Source organism: Homo sapiens, chromosome 3 (assembly GCF_000001405.40).
Source record: "Homo sapiens chromosome 3, GRCh38.p14 Primary Assembly".
NCBI classification, from domain to species: Eukaryota; Metazoa; Chordata; class Mammalia; order Primates; family Hominidae; genus Homo; species Homo sapiens.
In genome coordinates this window covers 69,412,123-69,434,847 of record NC_000003.12, presented here as the reverse complement: position 1 = coordinate 69,434,847, position 22,725 = coordinate 69,412,123, and the positions used below count along the sequence as shown (strand labels likewise).

General features: G+C 40.8%; 1 protein-coding gene across 5 annotated transcripts in view, besides 2 other annotated features; it reads left to right on the top strand.

Moving 5' to 3' along the window:
* Positions 1-22,725, top strand: part of FRMD4B (FERM domain containing 4B) — a 373,805-nt gene that overhangs the window by 107,739 nt on the left and 243,341 nt on the right. For all 5 annotated transcript variants that reach the window (XM_017005993.2, XM_047447767.1, XM_047447771.1 and 2 more), the window contains one exon: positions 2,087-2,214. The gene's annotated coding sequence lies outside the window, so the exon portion shown is untranslated. The remainder of the gene's footprint in view (positions 1-2,086; positions 2,215-22,725) is intronic.
* Positions 13,171-13,670: an enhancer, noted in NCBI's record as "H3K27ac hESC enhancer chr3:69470329-69470828 (GRCh37/hg19 assembly coordinates)". NCBI's record gives its function as "activates a minimal SCP1, AML or CMV promoter by ChIP-STARR-seq in naive H9 embryonic stem cells {active_cell/tissue: H9 hESC(naive)}" and the evidence as "EXISTENCE:reporter gene assay evidence [ECO:0000049][PMID:30033119]".
* Positions 13,671-14,172: an enhancer, noted in NCBI's record as "H3K27ac hESC enhancer chr3:69469827-69470328 (GRCh37/hg19 assembly coordinates)". NCBI's record gives its function as "activates a minimal SCP1, AML or CMV promoter by ChIP-STARR-seq in primed H9 embryonic stem cells {active_cell/tissue: H9 hESC(primed)}" and the evidence as "EXISTENCE:reporter gene assay evidence [ECO:0000049][PMID:30033119]".

Here is a 22,725-nt window from a genome sequence, read left to right as displayed (position 1 = left end):
CAGTCTTTGGTATTTTGTTACGGCAGCCCTAGCAAACTAATATAGTGCGTGATTGTAACTCATCTACCCCAACTCATTGAGATCTTAACATTTCTTTGCTCATTCCCAGATACCCAATATCACAAGTATCTTGTACCAAATTTTATAGGTGGAGTCAAGTGCTTTAATTATATTTGCATATTTGGTGTGTTCGTAGATCTTAAAACATATCCCTCCTGCATGTTAATAGTTGTAGAATAGATTCCCATGATGCTCTAATCTCAGTTTTCCTTTGTTTCTCTCTTTAGTTTCCTTCCAAATACTGTCCACTTTGTTTCTATTCCTGGGTTCTGGGGTTTTCAAGTAGATGCATATTTCTTTGGTTTATAGTGCTGCTTGTTGCCGGCAGGAATGGAATCTGAGAACTAACCAGTTGTGTGTAACCTCAGACAAGGTATCTATTTCCCTGACTTGGTTTCCTTGTATTCCTAGTATAATAGCATCCATATTATCTTTGGAGTTTCTAGAAGCATTAGCAGAATACAAGTGATGTGCCTGGCATAGCATATGGCTTATGTTGGACACTTAACAAATAGTAGCTATTGAAGGCAACCAGAAGATATCTGTTTATTTCTCTTTTTTCTGCCTTTGTGATCCAAGTTGACAGCAGCTGTGTAGTCTTTGTTAACACCCACTAAAGAAGCAAGGGATTTAACTAGTTCTTTGCACGTGACATTAGACACTGCTTGGTATATCATTGTTTACAGGGCTTAATCCCTCAAGGAGCTTTTGTCGCCGGGCAGACACAAGAAAGATGTGGAGAGATGACGTGATAAGGCAGAAAATGTACTGAGTCATTCCAGTGCCAGCTCTGCCCTGTGTAACATTTTACAAGTTGCTTTCTCTCTCTCTTTCTGTACCTCATTTATCTTATTTGTAAAGTGGGGGCTTAGACTAAAACACATCTCTAGTGTATCCTCTTTTTGCCTAATGTTTCACTGAGAGATCATGAGGACCAAGAGGATAACTGGGTGTGAGAATCCTTCATACTGATCTTAGTACTACCCAAACCATAACTATCCATGCCCAACATGTTTTCCTCCTAAAGGGGTACTAAAAATTATTGCCTGTAGGAAACTCTCAACCTTTTCTCCTTTCTGTGCTCTCATTTGAGTTAAGCTCCTTGAATATGGAGTTCCTGCTAGAAAAATGACTTTGTTCCATGGCATCAGGAAGGAGAGAGAGGGCAAAGGTGTTTGTGAGGAAATCCCCTTGACTTCCTGCTTCTTGTGCCATCTTGCACCTAGATGCCTTGCACATCCAGGGGGAGTGGAGGGGCAGGTGGTGTGGGGAGGTGCCAAGCGGATGGTGCCACAGAGAGTTTCACTTACCACATGGCAGAACAAGGGATACCACATCTGCCACTTCTGCCTCCCTCCTTGTCCTGTTTTTACACTTGGGTGTGTGTGAAACAGTGTGACCTCACAAGTGACAAAGGAGAAGCATGCTTATTGACTGAAGTGGAGCTTCTGGGGGAAAAGCTGTTTTCTTTTCTGTAGTAGGGAGAATGAGAAATACATATAAATGAGGATATCTTATGGCGTGATATGCACGCTAGATTTCATCAGTATTCATGACGTGTTTCATTCTCGCCACACTGACATCTGTTAAAAAAAGATTCAGGAATGCCATTCTGGTTTCAGTAACTCTGAAACATGGCTTCGGAGGGGATGTATTACTGAGTTCTCTCTCCCACTTTGACAGCCCTGATTTTGCAACTGAGTGTAGATAACTTTGAGCACTTCAGAATCTCCTCCTACAGAGACAGTAGAAGTCTAAAACGGTGTATTCAGTGACATGCATCCTGTAAGAAGCCAAATTGGTATGAACTCTTTAGTTGTTAAGGAGACTAGCCTCAATTTCATCTGTATTTCGAGAGAACTCTATTCTAAATCTCATGGAATTAGGTGAATTTCTAAAACTGTGATTAAACTGTAGTCAGCCAGGGGAAAATTAGAAATAAATTAGAAGTGTCACTGACTTGAGATTTATAGTTTCTCCTCCTGTGCCTACAGAAATTAAGGAGCTTCTCTCTTCTGTATTACAGGCTTTGATGAGAAATCCAGAAGAAAGAGTGTATGAAAGAAAAAGATGACATCTATGCATAGCAAACAAAATCTGAAGATTATTACAGTAAAAACAAAAGAAAGGCAAGAGAATACTTACTAGTTAAAGGTAAGTTGACGTTTCTGTAAATGCTGAACTCTTTGATATGTTAGATAGAATAGAAAAGTGAGTTTATGTGTGTTTGCATGTGAGTACACATTGACTTGTCAAGCGGGGCTTGGACAGGATGTTATATGATATATGATATGGCATATTAACAAAATATTTACATTACTAGCAAATGATGAAGAAAATTAATAAATTAAGTTACTCCCCTACTTTCAAATGAAAGTCAAACACCCCAAAGTTGAATGATATGCTTACATTTTATAGGTCTTTTCCCACAGAGCAAAATAAACAAAAAAAAGTACTAATTGTGCTGTGCCTTAGACATATTTCCTATATTTCCAATATTTATACACGCATTTATAAAAGTATTTTCTTTTTATTTGCAGTTGAACAGCTTCACCAGCTTAAGTCCAGGGGACAACTGAGCAAAGCAAACAATTGATTCTTTTTATAAGTGCAATGATTTTCATCTTTAGCTTAATTGGAGTAAGGGAGAGCTTTGTATCCTTAGTATCAGTACTGGCGTTTTATTTTCCATTTTCCACTGCTTTTTTATAATATAATAAGAGGGGGATGGAATATTTGAACAGTTGCATAAGCATTGTCATAATGATAGCAATGCTATAGAAACCAAACTGCCAGGCATGTAGGCAACACAACCAGATGAGATCTCAAAATGTTTCTTCATGAGATGCTCTCAGAAGTTCATATCTGACAGGCAAAAACGGTTTGAAGGACATTGATGTAAAATATGCACAACTATGAACTGCACGTGAGTAAAATGTGCAACAGTTAGGAACAGCATTTTATGTCTCAAAATGCTTCCTTTGATGAAATCAATGGTAAGATTGCAAATCCACATGCTGGCGCCTGCTGGAGAGATGTAGCAGTCAAGGACGTCGACTCTGGAGATCTTGCCCTACCACCTACCACTTGCATAATTGTGGTCAAAATGATTAATCTCCCTTTGCCTCAGTTTCCTCATCTGTAAAATGCGGGTGATATTAAAACCTACCTTATAGAGTTGCTCAGTAGATGAAATGAGTCAATATAGGCAAAGCACTTGAAAGAATGCTGAGCCCATAAAAAGTGCTCAGTAATTATTGGTTGATTTTATCATTGAGTAAAGTGTACTTCAGGGATGGAAATTTCAGTTGTTTGTTTTAAAGGGGCAAAGATGTGGAAGAGCATAACAGATGTTGGGCAAGTGGAAGATATCAGTTCTTTAACTCTGGGCATATTTGTACTGTTCAAGCAGCTGTCACAGGACTGATGGGTGCCAGGCACAGATAGAAAAAAGCTACAGGGGCTCAGTGTACTTCTCAAACAAACTCTTATTGATTGTCTCCTTGATTCAAGCACCTTAAGAAGCATTGGAGAATACAGACTTAAATGATGCAGTACTTTTCTTAAGTTACAAATAAGACCATCTTAAACTCTTTGCTGTAATCTGTAAGGCTAGACTTGACCTGGTCCCAGACATTGTCTCTAGCCTCACCTCCTTAGCTCCCTGTCCTCATTCTTGCCTTCTTTGATTCCCTCTAAAACACAAGCAGCGATTTTCCACTTGGATTTTTTGCACCCACTGCACAATGCAGCCTGGCTCTTTCCCTCCCTTGTTCCTGTATCTTTTTCCTTTAAGTCTTAGACCGGGGCTTCTCTGGCTTCTCTACTAAAGGAGCCCCCTCTGAGAAGTGAGCTTCCAAAAATATTGTCCCTACTGTCATTCTCATCAACAATGGATATGAGAGCCTATTTTTCCATATCCCTGCAACAAGGAGTATTCCAAAGTTGTTTCATCCTTGCCAGTCTGATAGGTGCTGAACTTGATTATTTGAAGTAGGTTTAAGAGAGGATGCACAGATACGCAATGAGGGCAGAAGTCAGTCATTCATTAACTCACCTTTAGAGCCTTCCCTGTTTTCTTTATAGCACTCGTTACTACCATGAATTAATTTGTCTCTTCAGTTACTTTTCACCTGCCTTCTCTCCTGGTGTATAAGTTCCCTGAGGCCTGGGACAGCATTTGCCCTCTTCACAGTAATATTCTGGGATCCTGGTCCAGCAATTGCCATATACGAGGTACTCAGTAAACATTTTGAGAGTGAAAGAATGAATGAGAAAGACAGGATCTTGTAACTGAAATAGACAGACAACATCTTTACAACAGTGCTAGAGGCTCAGAAATAGAAGGGAGTCTTACAAAAAGTTAGACCCAGGTAGGCAGGAGCAATATTGAAACTATTAACAGCCTCTCAGCACAAATAAGGATCAGCCTAAATAGGCCTTGCCCATAGTGCTGGGCAGGGTCTGAAAGGGCCTCTTGTGGCAGTACGTTTTACCCTTGAGGTGCTGGATTGTGGGGAGGTGGCTGGGATTCAAGAATGGGGCTCAGGGACTGGTCAGTTGCCAACCACTATGGTGGAATTGTCAATATCTTAACTAAGCATAGCTGTATGTGTGCATTCCTACTCAATATCAGTCCTGATTATAGTACCAAGCAGAACTCTTTCTAGTCCCGTTTGTACTAGAATACCATTCTCTGCCTTGGATCAATAAGAAGAGTCATCCAGGCCCGGGCATGGTGGCTCATGCCTGTAATCCCAGCACTTTGGGAGGCTGAGGTGGGTGGATCACTTGAGGTCAGGAGTTTGAGACCAGCATGGTCAACATGATGAAACCCTGTCTCCACAAAAAAATACAAAAATTAGCCAGACGTGGTGGTGCATGCCTATAATCCCAGCTACTTGGGAGGCTGAGGCAGGAGAATCACTTCAATTCAGGAGGCAGAAGTTGCAGTGAGCAGAGATCATGCCACTGCACACCAGTCTGGGCAGCAGAGTAAGTGAGACTCCGCCTCAAAAAAAAAAAAAAAAAAAAAAAGAAGAGGTCTCCAAATAGAGACCAGAGGAGGATTCTGATGCCCTCAAATTTCACCCAAGCACCCTTCTGCCCGCGTTGCATACCAGCAAGTCCTCCCTTATACCTGTTTTATTTCATGTGTGTGGATTTTGTACTGATATGTCATAGTTGTGCACGTTTTAGGGATACATATGTTATTTTGATACATGTATACAATGAGTAATGATCAAATCAGGGTAATTGGGATGTCTATCACCTTGAATATTTATCTTTTCTTTGTGTCGGGATATCTATTTTAAATAACCATGCTCGTCACCTATGAGACTGGCAAGGACAAAAAAATATTTTAAATACTCGTCATTGGAAGGATATGGACAAAAAGGCTCTCATATACTGTTGATGAGAATGCCAGTAGGGGCAATATTTTTAGAAGTTAACTTGGCAATACTTATCAAAATTCTAAATGCACATTCTTATTGACCAGGTAACATAACTTTTAGGGATTTATCTTCCAGATAAACTGGCACAAATACAAAATGATATATGCACAAGTGTGTTCACTTTAGCATTGTTATAATAGCAAAATTATGGGTGCAATTTGTATGGTTGTTGATAGGAGAGAAGTGGATAAATGATGGTACTTCCATCTAATAGAACACTCTGACCTTTAAAAAGTGTCAGGGTAGATCTCTCAAAGGTATTAAGTAACAGAGGGAAAAAAGCTGCCAAAATGGTGTGTATTATGAAATCCTGACACATGCTACAACATGGATGACCTTTGAGGGCATTATGCTATATGAAATAAGCCAGTCGCAAAAGGATGAATACAGTGTGATCTTACTTGTATGAGCTACCTAGTGTAGTCACATTCATAGAGATGGAAAGCAGAGTGGTGGTTGCCAAGAGCTGTAGGGAAGAGGGAATGGGGAGTTACATTTTAGTGGGCACAGAGTTTCAGTTTGAGATAATGAAAATGTTCTAGAGAAGGATGAGAGTGATGGTTGCACAACAATGTGAATGTACTTAATACCACTGAACTGTACACTTAAAAATGGTTTAAATGATGAATTTTTGTTTTATCTACTTTACCACAGTGTTTTTTAATGTTAAGAAGAGGAAAACTTTCCTGGTTTTTCCAAAGAAAAAGTGTTAATAGTTTAAAATACCACCATAATACATTTTAGTGACAATCAGTTAAAATTTCTTAGTAGTCTCAGGATCTAAAACAAAAGTACAATATTTTTAAAAGAAAAAAAATCTATTTTCCTTTTAAATGATGCCTCATGCACCTAACTTTAGTGGTGCAAATTAAGAAGCAACAAATTACCAGCCAACTGCCAAATCATAGTACCTCCTAGTTCTGCTGGGGATTAAAAGAGTTAACACTTGTTGTTTTAGGAACTTTACAAGTGTTAACTCATTTAATCCCCAGCAGAACTAGGAGATATTGTGATTTCCATTTCACAGATGAGATCACTGAGAACAGAGAGGTTATGTAACATGCCCCAGGTCACACAGCTAGTGAGATGCAGAACTGGTTGTCATCAAACCCCAAAATTATATAGCTCCAGAGCACAAAATAGTCTGAGCCACTGTTTTACCAACTCCCAGCTCTGAAGAGCTTCTGTATTAGAAGAGTCATCTATAAACTATGTTGGCCTTTTTAAGATTTCTACTGCATAGTTACAACTGAAAAGCTTGAGTGCACTGATACAGCTACTAGCTTTTCTTCAGTAGATGCTTGTTAACTTGAAATATGTAAATGATTTGTCTCTAACTGGGAAATTATTCTTTAACATTTACCTAGCTTCTTGGCTGGGCGTGGTGGCTCACGCCGCCTGTAATCCCAGCATTTTGGGAGGCCGAGGTGGGCAGATCACTCGAGGTCAGGAGTTCGAGACCAGCCTGGCCAACATGGTGAAACCCAGTCTCTACTAAAAATACAAAAATTAGCTGGGCGTGGTGGCACATGCCTGTAATCCCAGCTACTTGGGAGGCTGAGGCAGGAGAATTGCTTGAGCCTGGGAGTTGGATTTTGCAGTGAGCCGAGATGGAGCCACTGCACTCCAACCTGGGTGACAGAGTAAGAATCTGTCTCAAAAAAAAAAAAAAAAAAAAAAAAAAAAAACATTTACCTAGCTTCTTACTAAACACAGTCATGGAGGAGAACAAGGAAGGGAAGGCTACGTGTAAAAACACAAGTGTTCTAAGGTTTTATCAGAGAAGAGCTCTGAAAGGAATTCTCCATATTGGACGGGGAAAACGTGATCTTATATTCTTCTCCCTAAGGTTCATGTCTCCCAAAATGTTAGGTTAATTTTAAAAATATATTTCATGTTTATATTCAAACAGATTTAGAAAATGCTGAATTAAAAGGCATTAAATAGTTTCTCTTCTGCAGGAATTCTTAAGGGCTTAAACACAATGAGTTGCCAAAAAAACAGGTATATTAAGTAATATATAACAATATATTATAAATATATTATATAACATATAAATATATATTATATTTATATAGTATGTAATTGTTTCCCAGAGTTATTTTTACCACAGAGCCCTTCTCCCACAGAAAATATTGAGGGGTTAATGCTTCCTGGATCACTTTTTGGAAATCTTTGTATTAGGGATTTTCCAAATTTACCACCAGAGGTCAGTTTTCCCCTCCTTTTATATTCTGACTAAACACTGACAAAACTTAATTTTCTCTCAGCACACCTGAGACAGGCTGACATTTTTCAAGTAGACTTTGCTTAAAACTTTTAAGGGATGAGTGAAAGAAATAAAAAAATAAGAATCCCTATAAATAGTCACATTTCCAAAATCTATGAGGCTGAGCCAAAGAAATAGCAAATCTACCAAGCTCTGTTGTACCAGTATGGAGAACAAATTCTCAGCCATATTGCTTGGCTCTTTTTCCCTCCTGTTTCTCAGCCAAGTGGCCTTTCTGTCATCTCAGCCCCTAAGCGCATCTGTGGGCTTATCTTATTACATCTGAGGATAAATCCCATAGACCCTGTGTTTTCACGGTTAAAATTATTTTCTGATTTAAATATCCTGGGTCTGCAGTGTGATCTTTCCTCTCAGTCCTAGCTGGCAGCTCTGAGATAGCTCTGTGGTAATGAACAAATATGGCACTCCTGTGAATCTTCTAGTCCTAAGAAAAGCAACTATGCAGTTAATATGCTCCCCTCCTTTCCTCTGCCAGGACAGACATTATTAATCAACACAGCACCCTTTCTTTGTAGAACTCAGAACGGGTCTCACAATACTTCCTGAAACAGGGCTCCAGGCAGGCATTACCAATAGGTTGGTATTAACGTGAGAAAACTCTAAGGCTAAGTCGTAAATTCCTTCCACTTCTGGACTATTCTCTGTTGACTGTCTTTTGAATGTTAATCTCCGTAATCCTTTACCCAACACACACACATGCACACACACACACACACACACGCTTTTAAAAGTTTGTTTCAAATCCACAATAATGAAAACCTATTCATTACAGCCCCAGCATTTCCTTATTCATACCTTATCCTTAGCAAACTATATGGGTGCAACACCTGATTTAAAGAGAAGGGCTGTTACATCCCAGCATATGCCAGAAGCTCCACACTTAGCCCATTCTGTTGTTTAACTTTGGATTCCTATTGATAACATGGCATATGCCCTGTTTTAAAATTAGCACTTGCTTAGAGTTGCCTTTGTGTGAGGTATTTAGGAAATGGCCTGTGTTCTTGATCAATCTTTAGCAAAAGCTGTGGTATTAAAGCTATTAAAAGGCCTAACCTGTTATGGTAGACTTTGAAACTAATTATCACCTGACGGTTCATTTCTTTTTAATGCTGAAAGCTTATTTTAGCATTAAAGAATAAGAGGGTAATATAGTGTAGTCATTAAGCATACGCTCTGGAGTTAGATGAGGTTCAACTCTTGGCTCCCCCACTTACTTGGGCTTTGGGATCTTTGGAGAGTTACTAATTAATCCTTTTAAGTCTTCTGAAAAAAAAGATAAAAATAATACCTATCTTATTGTGGTGCTTTTATAAAACATTATTGTGCATCTACTTTGTACCAAGTGCAAAACATCACAGTGAGGATTGAATGAATTGGGAATTTACTTCACCTGGCATCAAGATGGAACTATTAATCTTTTAAAGCCCTTTTATGTTTCAGCTGAAGCCATCACGAAAGGTAGGGGCAAAAGAAGACATGCATGTTATTGAATTGCAGATCGATTAGAGATGAGATTTAGGTGGAGGCTGGCCAGCAGGGTCCATATTTAATTTCTCAGTTGTGCATTGGAAGTGAACTTTCCCCCATGGGCAGTAGGGTGTGCTGTGTGAACAGGATAACTACTTCTAGCACTAGTTTCAGGTGAGAGTGTCTCTCTTCACTTTTGGGGAGTGTGTTCGTGAACTAATGAGCAGCAAGTTCCACTTTGCTGTTAGTTCTCTAGCTTCTGTTTCTTGTGAACTTTAACTCCATGCACGTTTCTTATGGCAATAGAATTGATTAACATTTACTGCATGTCCTTTCTGGCCAATGCAGTGTTGAAATGAATTTACTGTGTAAGAAGGAGGTGACGCTAATACACTGGATATTGTTAAGAAGGCATCATGGAAATACTATATAAATTAACTACTGATAAGAGATAATAACACCATGAAAAACCATGGAAGAGATGAAAGCCTTTTAAAACACTAATAGCACATCACCTACCTTCCTATTTGCCTAAGTCACTGTCTGGCTGCAGAGAAGTAAGCAGAGGTAAAGTACATAAAAGCAGAGGGTTGCGGGTAGGTAGAAATAAAAGGCTGTTATAGTTCAAGTCCTAATTACCAAAGGCTAAAGATAAGGTCAACAGCACCTGTGATTTTTCTATATTACATCTATATAACTTGTTATTTAGAATCTTACATTCATTATTTTAGCTTTGCCTCTTGAAATCAGCTTCAGAATTACCTTCCTAAGCAAATTTTAAATTCATCTTTGAATTTTTAAAGAAGTTGCTTTTTTATTTAAATCCCATATTGGGATTTAAGGTAGTCAACATATATCTTACCTCAATTCTTTTGTCTTATAAAAGTAATTCTGTTTCTGCCAATCTAATAGGAGAAAAAATATCTCATTTGTTTAATATTTATTTCCGACTATCAGTGAAGGATTTTTGTATATTTATTGGCTGTTTGTGTTTCTTATGAAAATTGCTTATTCCCATCCCTCTTTGTCTGTGGATTTGCTTCTTATATTAGTAAGCTAAGAGAGAAACCACTCAGAAGTGACAGACTAAGGCACATGTGCCTTAATAATACAATCCTGGCTGTGCTGTGGCTTTCACCTGTAATCCTATCTCTTTGGGAGGCCAAAGCGGGAAGATCGCTTGAGTCCAGGAGTTCGATGCTGCAGTGAGCCATGATCACACCACTGCACTCCAGCCTGGGTGACAGAGTGAGACCTTGTCCTTTTAGTGTCAGTATACAGTCAGTTCTCATTATTTGAGGTAGTTATATTCAGTAAAGGCATCATGAACACCAAATTAGCAAATACTGAAACATCACACCTAGGGGGAAATAAGTTATGCTGCTATAAACCTCGTCACAACATTCTCATCAGCCAGTCAGTACATAACCTTGTTTTAAGTGTGTTTCTGTTTAAAGACACATTATTTAATATATGTAGTTGATTCATTAACATTGAACTCATATCAAAAGTACTATAATTCATGTTTGAATGAAGCTTATCTAAGACATTATTTTTTTTTAACAAGGACATTGCAGCTGCCTTCCACTTAGGAACTTTGTCCATTTGGGCTGCTGTTACGAAATACCATAAGCTGGGTAGCTTATAAACAACAGAAATGTATTTCTCACAGTTCTGGAGCCTGGGAAATTCACCATGAAGACACCAGGCCATTCAGTGTCAATGGATGAGGGTCCTGCTAATACCACTTGACAGTCCACTTGATTTGGTAGACCCTGATAAGGGTCCACTTTCTGGTTCATAAATGGCACCTTCTCATTGTGTCTTCACTTGGTAGAAGGGGTAAGGCAGCTCTCTGGGGCCTCTTTCATGAGGGCACTAATCCCGTTCATGAGGACTGTGTTCTCATGACCTAATCATGTCCCAGAGGCCCTATCTCCTATCATTCTGACACGGGTGATTAAGCTTCAAACTATTAATTTTGGAAATACACAAACATTCATACCACAGCTAATTTAGCAGTTCAGCACTATGCTTAGGGGGCATTTTAAACAGCAAAATCACCAACCAAAAGCACCAACATGTGTAAAACAGGTTGCTACATAGACTCTGAAAGGGACGTGTGTACCTAACATGAACTGAAACAAGAGGGCAGCGCTTTATTTTGTTATATCTCAGCTGAGAACAGGAGCATTGGGTGACTCAAATTTTTTGCTGTTCCCCACAAGTCAGAGAATGATTGCAAAAATACCTCGAGCAAAGGCTAAGTGTGGTGGCTCATGCCTGTAATTGCAGCGCTTTGGGAGGCCAAGGCGGGAGGATCACTTGAGCCCAGGAGTTTGAGGCTGCAGTGGGCTATGATTGTGCCACTGCACTACAGCCTGGGCAACAGAGCGAGATCCTGTCTCTATTTTTCAAAAAAGTACCTTGAGTATTGATTTTGGAGTTATGAATGAATTCTAACCAGTAGGCAAGTTTGAATTTTGTAAATAATGAGGACTGACTATATCAATAAATTTGTCTCACAAAAAAGGGCCCTTATGGTCCTTCCCTTCATTCCTGAACAACATTGGCTAACTATACAACTTACATGGGACTCATGCCCAGTGAGTCATATATATAAGTCAGAGCTCAGCAATCCCTGCCCTACAGTTCAGCAGTCTCTCCATCAGAGAACTTTCAGGACATAGGGGTCTGCAAGCTACTGCCTGTGGGCCAAATTCAGCACACTGCCTGTTTTGCTACCGTCCTGAGCTAAGAATGTTTTTTTTTTCCTTTTTCATTTTTAAATGGTTGTATGGGAAATCAAGTAACTATTTGACACATGAAACTTATACAAAATTCAAATTTTGGCGTCCACAGATAAAGTTTTATTGGAACAAAGCCATGCGCATTTGCTTACATATTGTTGATAGCTGCTTTCATGTAATAAGGCAGAAATGAATAATTGCCATAGTGATCATATAGCCCACAGAGCTGAAAATATTTACTGTCTGGTCCTTTATAGAAAAGTTTGGTGACTACTGACCTAAAACATTGCAGCTTGTCACAATGGAGGCTCTTGCACAGGCAGTTAAAAGCTCTGTATGGAAGTGATATCTCACCTAGCAGGGGAGGGGTAAGTACTAGAAGTAAAATAGGGTTTCTCTCTTCCCTGCCCCCTCTCCTTTTCTCTTCTTTTTTTTTTTTTTTCAGAGTCTCGCTCTGTTGCTCAGGCTGGAGTGCAGTGGCATGATCTCAACGCACTACAACCTCCCGGGTTCAAGCAATTTTCCTGCCTCAGCCTCCCGAGTAGCTGGGACTACAGGCACATGCCACCACGCCCAGCTAATTTTTTGTATTTTTAGTGGAGACGGGGTTTCACCATGTGTTAGCCAGAATGGCCTCGATCTTCTGACCTCAAGTGGTCTGCCCTCCTCAGCCTCCCAAAGTGCTGGGATTACAGGCATGGGCCACCACGCCCGGCCCCTCTCCTTTTAATATAAGTTTAGATTTCAAATCCCTATGAATGTACTTTGTGTGTTGAAGCAGATTAGAAAGTATCAGGCTGCTTCTATTAACAGATCTGCAGAAACCAATTTAAATGCAACTGAAGGGAACTCATCAGAGTGAAAATAAAATAATGACACCAATATTTTTGTGTTATGGTTATGCCACGAAATTCCAGTAGCGTTGTTTCCTATCAATTAAGAAAGTAACCTTTGTTTCATTTTGTCTTTATTTTTTGTTTTACTAGCTGAAAGTTATCTTAGACATCACTTAGGCCAGGGCTATCCAAGAGAATTTTCTACAAAGCTGGACATGTTTCAGATCTGTGTTATCCAATATGGTAGCCACTAATACCTGTGGCTATTGAGCAGTTGAAAGGTGGCTGTTGTGACTGAGGAAGTGAATTTTTAATTTTTGTTTAATTTTAATTAATTTAAGATGAAATAGTCACATGTGGCTAGTGACTAGCTTATGGGACAAGGCACATCTAGACTCAAGATTGCCAACTGCTCTGCAGGCTTGATTTGTTGCCAACACTTAAAGATTGGGAGACTTTATGTAAAAGTCTGAATTGTGGCTTCCCAGGAAAAATTGGAGCATCTGGAGACACTGGGAATGCCCTCACTGGACAAAACATGTGCTCTCCAGTCCCCACTGTTCCCTGTCATCCTGTACCCAGCCTGCTACATTTTCATTGCCTGCCTGGCCTCTGTTGGCACTTGCATGTACAATCCCTAATCTAATTCAACCTCAGATGACTCTTCATACGGGAAATAAAAGCCCAGAGACACAAAGTGCCTTATGCAAAGTCATCCGGTAATTAATACTAGAGCTGGCACCAGAATTCAAGGGCCTGGCTGGTATACTGTCTCCCAGAGATCTGACTACTGGCACCTCTGGGGCTGTGTGAGGGTGGAGGAAAAGGGGGACCAAGTAGCACCTGGGTGTATCTAAGCTGCCCTCACAAATCTCATCCTCACTTATTTCCAGGCCATGGGTAGGGTGGACACTGGGTGGGTGAGGTCTCTGCCTTCTTCCCATCTGGGCTGACTCAGTGTGAGCCACAATGGGGAGTGAGGGCGTGGGAGGGAGGGAGGCCTGAACTTTCCCTGGCCCTCTCCGTCCCTGACTTCCTCTCTTATTGTTTACCCTTGCCAAGTCCAGTGTTCTCAGGGAGGGCGCATCTGGTAACATATTGTTGGTCATTTATCCTCCCTGGCATCTTTGCTTCATACAGTTCCTCTGCTCTTTTGGATCCACCTTTCTTTTTCCAAAGGGCTTTTGGCTTCTTCTGATATCCTAGCCAATTAAATCTTAGGCCAGAGTAAAAGTAGACTACCCACTTAAATCCACACAGGAGGCTTTGAAATAGTGTTTCACAGTATGAATGTTACATATTATTGTGCATTTCTCCATTCTCATGTCCCGTTCAGGTGCCTAAAGTCCTTACAGGGATAATCTTGTTTACCAACCCCAGCAGATCAAACATCTTGACCCATTTGAAACCCGAACATCTCTAATTCAGAAATAGGGGGTTTAGCATAGTGACTCCGGAGACACATTCACCTGAATTTGAGTCCTTGTTCTGCCAGTTGCTAGGTCAGTGACCTGGGGAAAATCACTTAACCTCCTGAGCCTGAATTTTTTCAAGTGTTAAAACGCTTACTTTGTAGGGCTATTGGTGAGAAATAAATCTGATCATGAAGGTAAGGTAGAAACCATGGCACCTGAGACATATGATTGTTCCATAGGTGAAAAGAATGTAGGGTTGTTTTGGTTGTTTTTTTTTTTTTTTGATATCCCTTTTCATACAAGTTACACCTGTTGCTAGAAAGCGATTCTGCCAGTTTAATCAAGCCACGCCCCTTCTGAGATTTTTCCCAGGGATTATTTTGCTTATCAACCCCAGCAGATCAAACACCTTGACCTGGCCAGGCACAGTGGCTCATGCCTGTAATCCCAGCACTTTGGGAGGCCAAGGCAGATGGATCACCTGAGGTCAGGATTTCAAGAGCAGCCTGGCCAACATGGTGAAACCCTGTCTCCACTGAAAGTACAAAAATTAGCTGGGCGTGGTGGTGGGTGCCTGTAATCCCAGCTACTCCGGAGGCTGAGGCAGGAGAATCACTTGAACCTGGGAGACAGAGGTTGCAGTGAGCCAAGATTGTGCCATTGCACTCCAGCCTGGGCGACAGGGCAAAACTCCATCTCAAACAAAGAAACAAACACCTTGACCCATTTTAAACCCAAACATCTCTTCCTGTATCTCAGTCTGCAAGTTCTTCTCTGTGTATGCTGCATAGGAACTTCCATTTACTGCTTGGTTATTTGGTTCTTGACTTTACAAGGCCTCTTCCATCCTTTTCCCAAATGTGGAGTTGCCATCCATGCACTTCTACCATACTGCATCCTATGTCATGGGCACCTGTGATTTTTGCCTGCACAGTATCCAATCCCCATTCTGGTAAGAGAGTCCCAGTTTTCCTTTGGGCTTGGGTAGCTTTGCTCTCCTGCCCCTTTTTGGTATCAAGTTTAGACAGATGACTCAGGTCTAGCCAGTGAGCCAGTGAAGGATAACTGAGGGAGTCTTGCTGGAATTATTGGGAAAGAGAATCTCACTTTCCACAACGGGTTGCTCAATGAGCCGAATATAAGCCTGGACCTATGAGTGGCCACCTCTGGCTCCACTGGAAGAGGCTGCCTGAGCATGAGATCAATACTGAGGAAAGGGAGCTGAGAGCTAGAGAGAGACAGATTTCAGGGCATTGGTGCCTGAAGCCAGATACGTCTGGGCTGATCAGGTATGTGAGCCAATAAACTCTCCATATTCATCTTCATTGAATTTATTCATTCATACTTGCTTTGGTCAGTTTCAGTTGGATTTCTACTCCTGTAACTGAAATAGTTAGGTGAAAACTCACCCCTTTTCACTTCTAAGTTTCCCCCAAACCTATTTCCCATATATTTCCTAGTTAATGTAAATCCATTTGCTGGCTGTCAACCATTTCACATATGCAACCTACATTTTCTTCCCAGTGCACTTTGCTATCTGGCCATTTGGTGCAGTTGATTCTCTTCATTTTGGTTATCTGTGCTTATTCATTCTCTACCTTATATCTTGATAATAAACACTTTGCAAACCAAGAGTATTAGTTTTTTATTGCTGCATAACAAATTACCACAAATTTAGCAGCTTAAACAACATATATGTATATATGTAATTATATATGTGTGTGTGTTATACACACACACACACACACACATAGTTGCTATGGGCCAGGAGTCTGGGCACAACTTAACTGGGTCCTCTGCTCAGTTTCTTACCAGGCTGAAATTAAGATGTTGGCCAGAGCTAGGATCTTGTCTGAGGCTCTACGTTCCCTTCCAGGCTCACTGGCTTTTGGCAGGATTCAGTTCTTTACAGTTGTAGGACTGAGGTCCCCAGCTTCTGGAAGCCACCTGCAGTTCCCTGACATGTGGCCCCCTCCACAACATGCCAACAACATGGAATTTTGCTCTTCAAAGACAGCAAGAGAACGTCTTTCGCTCTAATCTGCTAAGATGGAGTCATTGTGGGTTGATAACCCATCACCTTGGGCATATAATGTGAGTTAATCAGAGGAGTGACACCCCATCATCTTTGCCATCTTCTCTTGGCTAGAAGCAGATACAAGCCCTGGCTACACTCAAGGGAAGGGGATTACACAGGGTGTGGAGGTCATAGGGCCCATGTTAGATTTCTGCCTACTATACCACATCGACCCTCCTACCAAATGCTCTAAGCCCAATTCAGAGTAGTAATGTTTAAGGATTAATAAAATTGTTCTATGTACACCGTGTATATTTTTGGTAAACATGTGTTATTAGTTATAATGTATGAGCATATGCCTGTGTGTATACATTTTAGAGATGAAAAAGATGGCCTCAGTAGGTTAAATAATTGCCCCAAAGATATTAGATTGTAATCCCTGGAACCTGTAAATGTTACCATATATATACATCAAAGACTTTGCAGATGTGGTTAAGTTTCTTGAGATGAAAAAATTATTCTAGATTATCTGTATGGGCCCTTCATACCATCACAAGACCCCTGTGAAAGAAAGGCAAAGGGAGGCTAGAGAGACACACAGAGGAGAAAGAGATGTAAAGAGAGAGAGCAGAGATTAGAGTGATGTGGCCACAAGTCAAGCAATACTGGCAGCCACTAAGAGCTGGAAGATGAAAGGAATGATTCACCCCTACAACCTCTGGAGGAAGTATGGCTCTGCTGAAACCTTGATTTCAGCCCAGTGAAACTGATTTTGGATTTCTGACCTCCAGAACTGTGAGATAAATTTCGGCCATTTTAAGCCATCAGCTATGGTAATTTGTCACGGTAGCCAGATGAAATTAATATAATGGCGATAGTGTCTGCTTTATAATAGAATCAGGTTTGCCCTAGGCAATACATTCAGGACACAATCATGGGCAAAGACTTCGTGACTAAAACACCAAAAGCAATGGCAACAAAAGCCAAAATTGACAAACGGGATCTAATTAAACTAAAGAGCTTCTGCACAGCAAAAGAAACTATCATCAGAGTAAACAGGCAACCTACAGAATGGGAGAAAAATTTTGCAATCTATCTATCTGACAAAGGCCTAATATCCAGAATCTACAAAGAACTTAAATTTACAAGATAAAAACAACCCCATCAAAAAGTGGGTGAAGGATATGAACAGACACTTCTCAAAAGAAGACATTTATGCAGCCAACAAACATATGAAAAAAAAGCTCATCGTCACTGGTCATTAGAGAAATGCAAATCAAAACCACAATGAGATACCATCTCACACCAGTTAGAATGGTGATCGTTAAAAAGTCAGGAAACAACAGATGCTGGAGAGGATGTGGAGAAATAGGAGCCCTTTTACACTGTTGGTGGGAATGCAAATTAGTTCGACCATTGTGGAAGACAGTGTGGCAATTCCTCAAGGATCTAGAACTAGAAACACCATTTGGTCCAGCAATCCCATTACCAGGTATATACCCATAGGATTATAAATCATTCTACTATAAAGACACATGCACACATATGTTTGTTGCAGCACCATTTACAATAGCAAAGACTCGGAACCAACCCAAATGCCCATCACTGATAGACTGGATAAAGAAAATGTGGCATATATACATGATGGAATACTATGCAGCCATAAAAAAGAATGAGTTCATGTCCTTTGCAGGGACATGGATGAAGCTGGAAAACATCATTCTCAGCAAACTAACACAGGAACAGAAAACCAAACACCACATGTTCTCACTCATAAGTAGGAGCTGAACAATGAGAACACCTGGACACAGGGAAGGGAACATCACACACCTGGGCCTATCGGGAGGTTGGGGGCAAGGGGATGGATAGCATTAGGAGAAACACCTAATACATGCAGGGCTTAAAACCTAGATGATGGGTTGATGGGTGCAGCAAACCACCATGGCACATATATACCTATGTAACAAACCTGCACATTCTGCACGTGTATCCCAGAACTTAAAGTATAATAATTTAAAAAAAAAGAACAGGTTTGCATTTGAGGTTTTTGAGCCTGAAGACAATTTGGCCAGATTCAGTGGGTTGCAATCTAACTTATAATTTATATTCTCAGCTGGGTGCAGTGGCACACACCTGTAGCCCCAGCTACTTTGGAGGCCAAAGTGAGAGGATCACTTGAGTCCAGAAATTCAAGGATGCAGTTTATTGTGGGTGCCTGTGAATAGCCATTGCATTCTAGCCTGGGCAACAGAGTGAGACCCTGTCTCTACAAAAAAATTTTTAATAAAGCAATTTCTCCCAGAAAGATCCTTGGAACACCTGCTTTTTCTTTCTGTATGTCAGCTTTCAGCAGCTGAGAATACCTGCTTTGCATCTTTGGGGATGCTTATTTAGAAATGCATTACTCAGAACCACGTGCAAAACAGTACCTGTTATTAAGGGCAGGCCCAAAATTTAGCTTTGAGCTACTTGGTATGCCCTGGCAGTCAAAGCAAAAAGTGGTTCCCCTATATAAAACTTTTAATATTTAATCTTTCTAACTCAGAGGACAGGGCACTTTATTCAGCAGGGGAGTCTAGTTTTCATCTTGAATAAATGATTAATTTCATAGAGAATAAAAGATGAATAATAGCCAGTACTACTGTCTTTTATCTGGTCCTTAATGTGTTAACCGAATACACTGAGTATTTCTTTATTCAACAAACATTCCTTGAGCCCTACAATGTGCCATGAAGGATGGAGAAACAATAGAGACCAAAAGCAGACAAAGTAGTTTCCAGCTCTCAAAACCCCACAGCCCCATGGAAAAGATCAAAATTAAATAGTCCCATTAATAAATGCATAATTGCAGACTAAAGTAAGTCAAAGAAAATAATTGCTGTTCTAAGAAGTTACTTATCAGAAGAACCTGGCCTAGGCTGAGGGAATCAGGGACAGCTTCCTCCTGGACATGACTCTTTAGCTGAGAGTTGAAGACTGAGTAGCACCTAACCAGGAAAAGGGAGAAGAGGCTGAGGGTTCCATATGGAGGCAACAGGGTGTGCAGTGGCCATGCAGCCAGATATTGTAGTGTGTTAGAGGGCAGAGGGGGAAGAGGGGGCGTAGGACAAGGGGCAAGGGAGAGGTAGATGGGGCTTGACCACAGACATAGAAGACTCTTGGGGCATATGGTTGAAATGAAAGAACTGGGGGCATGGATCTGCTCCCCAATCCATAGTATCTTGTGACTCTGCATCCTTTTAGAGGTGGGTGCCCAGCCTTGAGAAGTCAGTATGGGGCTTTATCTCCATTTGATGGATTCACTCATATTGTTGCCTGTTCACAAAATATAGATGTTGACTATTTCTTTCTTTTCACTGGGCAGTGGTCAATGCCTTAAAAAGTTTGTAAGCTGGCCGGGCACAGTCGCTCATGCCTGTAATCCCAGCACTTTGGGAGGCCAAGGCGGGTAGATCACGAGGTCAGGAGTTAGACACCAGCCTGACCAACATAGTGAAACCCCATCTCCACTAAAAATACAAACATTAGCCAGGTGTGGCGGTGCACACCTGTAATCCCAGCTACTCAGGAGGCTGAGGCAGGAGAATCGTTTGAACCCGGGAGGCGGAGGTTGCAGTGAGCCGAGATCTCGCTACTGCACTCCAGCCTAGGTGACAGAGCGAGACTCCATCTCAAAAAAAAAAAAAAAAAAAAAACAGCTTGTTCGCTGTGAGTCTCAACATAAGTACAATAGAAGCCAAGGTTAGAGAGTTCCTCATGGGAGTCCCTGGAGGACAACACAGCTACCTGCACTTCTGGGTACGCCCTACGCAGTTACCTGCACAGGCTGGGCCTGCTTTCTGGGCACACCCTTGACCTCATGCAGCTCTCATGATAGTGTTGAAATGCAGCCCCTCGAAATGTGCTTTACGTCAACCTGATGGCACTGCTCACCTGGAGCAATAAACAGCATCTATTGATTCAACCCTAATCCCAGCACTTTGGGAGGCCAAGGCAGGCGGATCACGCCCTAAGATTACCATTGACTTTTTCTGCCCCTGGACCACAACATGTTCATCGAAGGAACACCTTCTAATTAAAAAGAAGCATTATTTTCCTTCGCTGAAAAGAAGAACCATCTCTTACATGATGCATGGTTTCTAGCCACATAGTATAGATTTGTAAAAAGCGAGGGGAAGCATACTTTTAGTGCAGAACTGTTTTTGTGGTTTTTTTCCTTCCCCATGTCTGATCTGTGCTACTCATCTGCTTGACGGACAGTCTTGTCCTAGTGTGTATCTCTCCACTGTTAAAGCAGCACCTTGATTATTTCCTGTTTGAGGTCTTTTGAAGTAGGTATTGTGTGTTTTGTGCAAGCTCTTATGATTTTATTCAGGCAGGCATCTGTTACCTGCAACCACTTTTCTCCTCTAGAAGCACTCTCTCCCTATAGATGAAATGCAGCTGTATGATATTTTCTAGTTTCCTTCTGGAGATGGGAACATATGTGTTTTGAGGAACATGCCATATGCACGTCTTTTCTCCAAGCCAGCATCATCCTTAGTAAGAATAAATGAAATTCAACAAAACATCCCAGAATCGAGAAATTCCAGAAGGTTCCAAATCCCCAAAGGCATGGAATGACATTAATGTAAACAAAAGAAAATAAGCAAATAGAAATTTCTCTCCACTTTTTTCTTACATCTCTGAGAAACACGTAGGAGCCGTTTACACCATTTTCTTCTTGCCCGCACTTCTCTGCAGCTCCCGGCATAGGAGATGCAGGGTTGTATTGTCTTCATTCTGCTGCTTTGTGAAACGCTGCACATCTTTTGGACGTGTGGTGAATGCGTCACATTCCCTTGAGATTAATGAGGCAATCAAGTCAAACTCTAAAGCTAGGGAAAGAGGAAAATGGGAAACCTTGCTAATTCAAGCATCTTGCATATTTATTTCTATCTTAAAGCCACTGCTAGGATTTAATGACATTTGAGGGAGCCTGGTTATGAAATGGGGTTACTGTGATTTGTGACTATGGGCAGGTACCGTTCTGAGAGAGGCACTATAGTGGGAAAGTATTTGAGAAGAATTAGTAAGAACATTTAGTGTGCCTAATTGCATTCAGTCAGGACAGTAAAATAAAGGGAGAGATACAGTTCAAGGTTTATAGATCTGGCTCTAACATCAAGACGGCCTGGGGTCAAGTCCAGGCTAAGTGACCTTGAGGAAATCACTACTCTGTGCCTCGTTTCTTTAACTGTAAAATGGAGATAATCAGGATAATGCCTACATTATAGAGTCATTGAGAGATTAAATGAAGTTATAATACATGTAAGCACTTGGCTCATTCATGCTCAATAAATACTAATGATTACTTTCATCCATATTAATGACTAGTTTTATGTGTTAGTCTAGTTGAGCATCTTTAATCCCGTCGTTCAACAAACCTGACTCTTATGCCTACTATACATTAGGCACTGTGCTGCGTATCAAGAGTATAGCAATGAACCATTATCATAGACAATGGAATTACTGCAATAGAGGTATGAATAGACTACAGCAGTGGGACAAAAGAGGAAACCATGATAACTCAGAGACCCATCGGTGATAATAGGTAACCACAGAGAAGGTTTGATTTCATGCCTGGTGCGTGTGAAGCTTCCCACCCAACTTCAAGGAACTGGGAACAAAGTGGAGCTTCTCGTCTCAAAAAAAAAAAAAAAAAAAAAAAAAAAAAGTGGAGCTTCTCATTGGAATTCTCTTAGGTCTCCTCTGACTGCCCATTCATCCACTCAGAGGCCCCAGCTTTAGCACTCAACATGACGAATTAACCCTTTCCAATGGTAAAACTTGAAATTAGTCTTTTCGCTCATTCAAGTTCTGCATCTCTTAGATAACCTAAGTAAATTAATGGGTAGGAAAGAATGAATGCTTTGTAAATGTGCATTATGTTACAATACAGCCATTTGTGTTTTAAACAGAAACTCAGCCAAATGAAATTCTCTTTGGCCTCTACAGGGAAGAACTTTGAGCAAGTGACTGTCTTACTTCCCTTGGATACTTGAAGCAGCCCATATTCCACCTTTATCTCTTCTTCCTCCTGCTTCTACCTACTTTCGGTCCCCTCTGCTCTCACTAACTTTAGGGTTATCAAAAGAATAGCAATCAGTAAAATAAAATCAGACTTCTGAAAGTTGACCAGTCCACCACATAGTCTGACTCCAGTAACAACTGTTGATTTCCAGGCACCCTTTTCCTGTGACATCAAGTGTCCTCAGTTTATCTTTCTTCTATTCTAATTCAAAAGGTCTATTGAATCTGCATCTCAGTCTTGTAAAGCAGTTAGCTTGGGTTGTGGGGCCAGAATTCCTGGGTTCAAACCTGGCTCTACCAGCTACCAACTGGAAGACCTTGTATAATTTTCTTAATCCCTCTCTGCCTTATTTGATAAATGG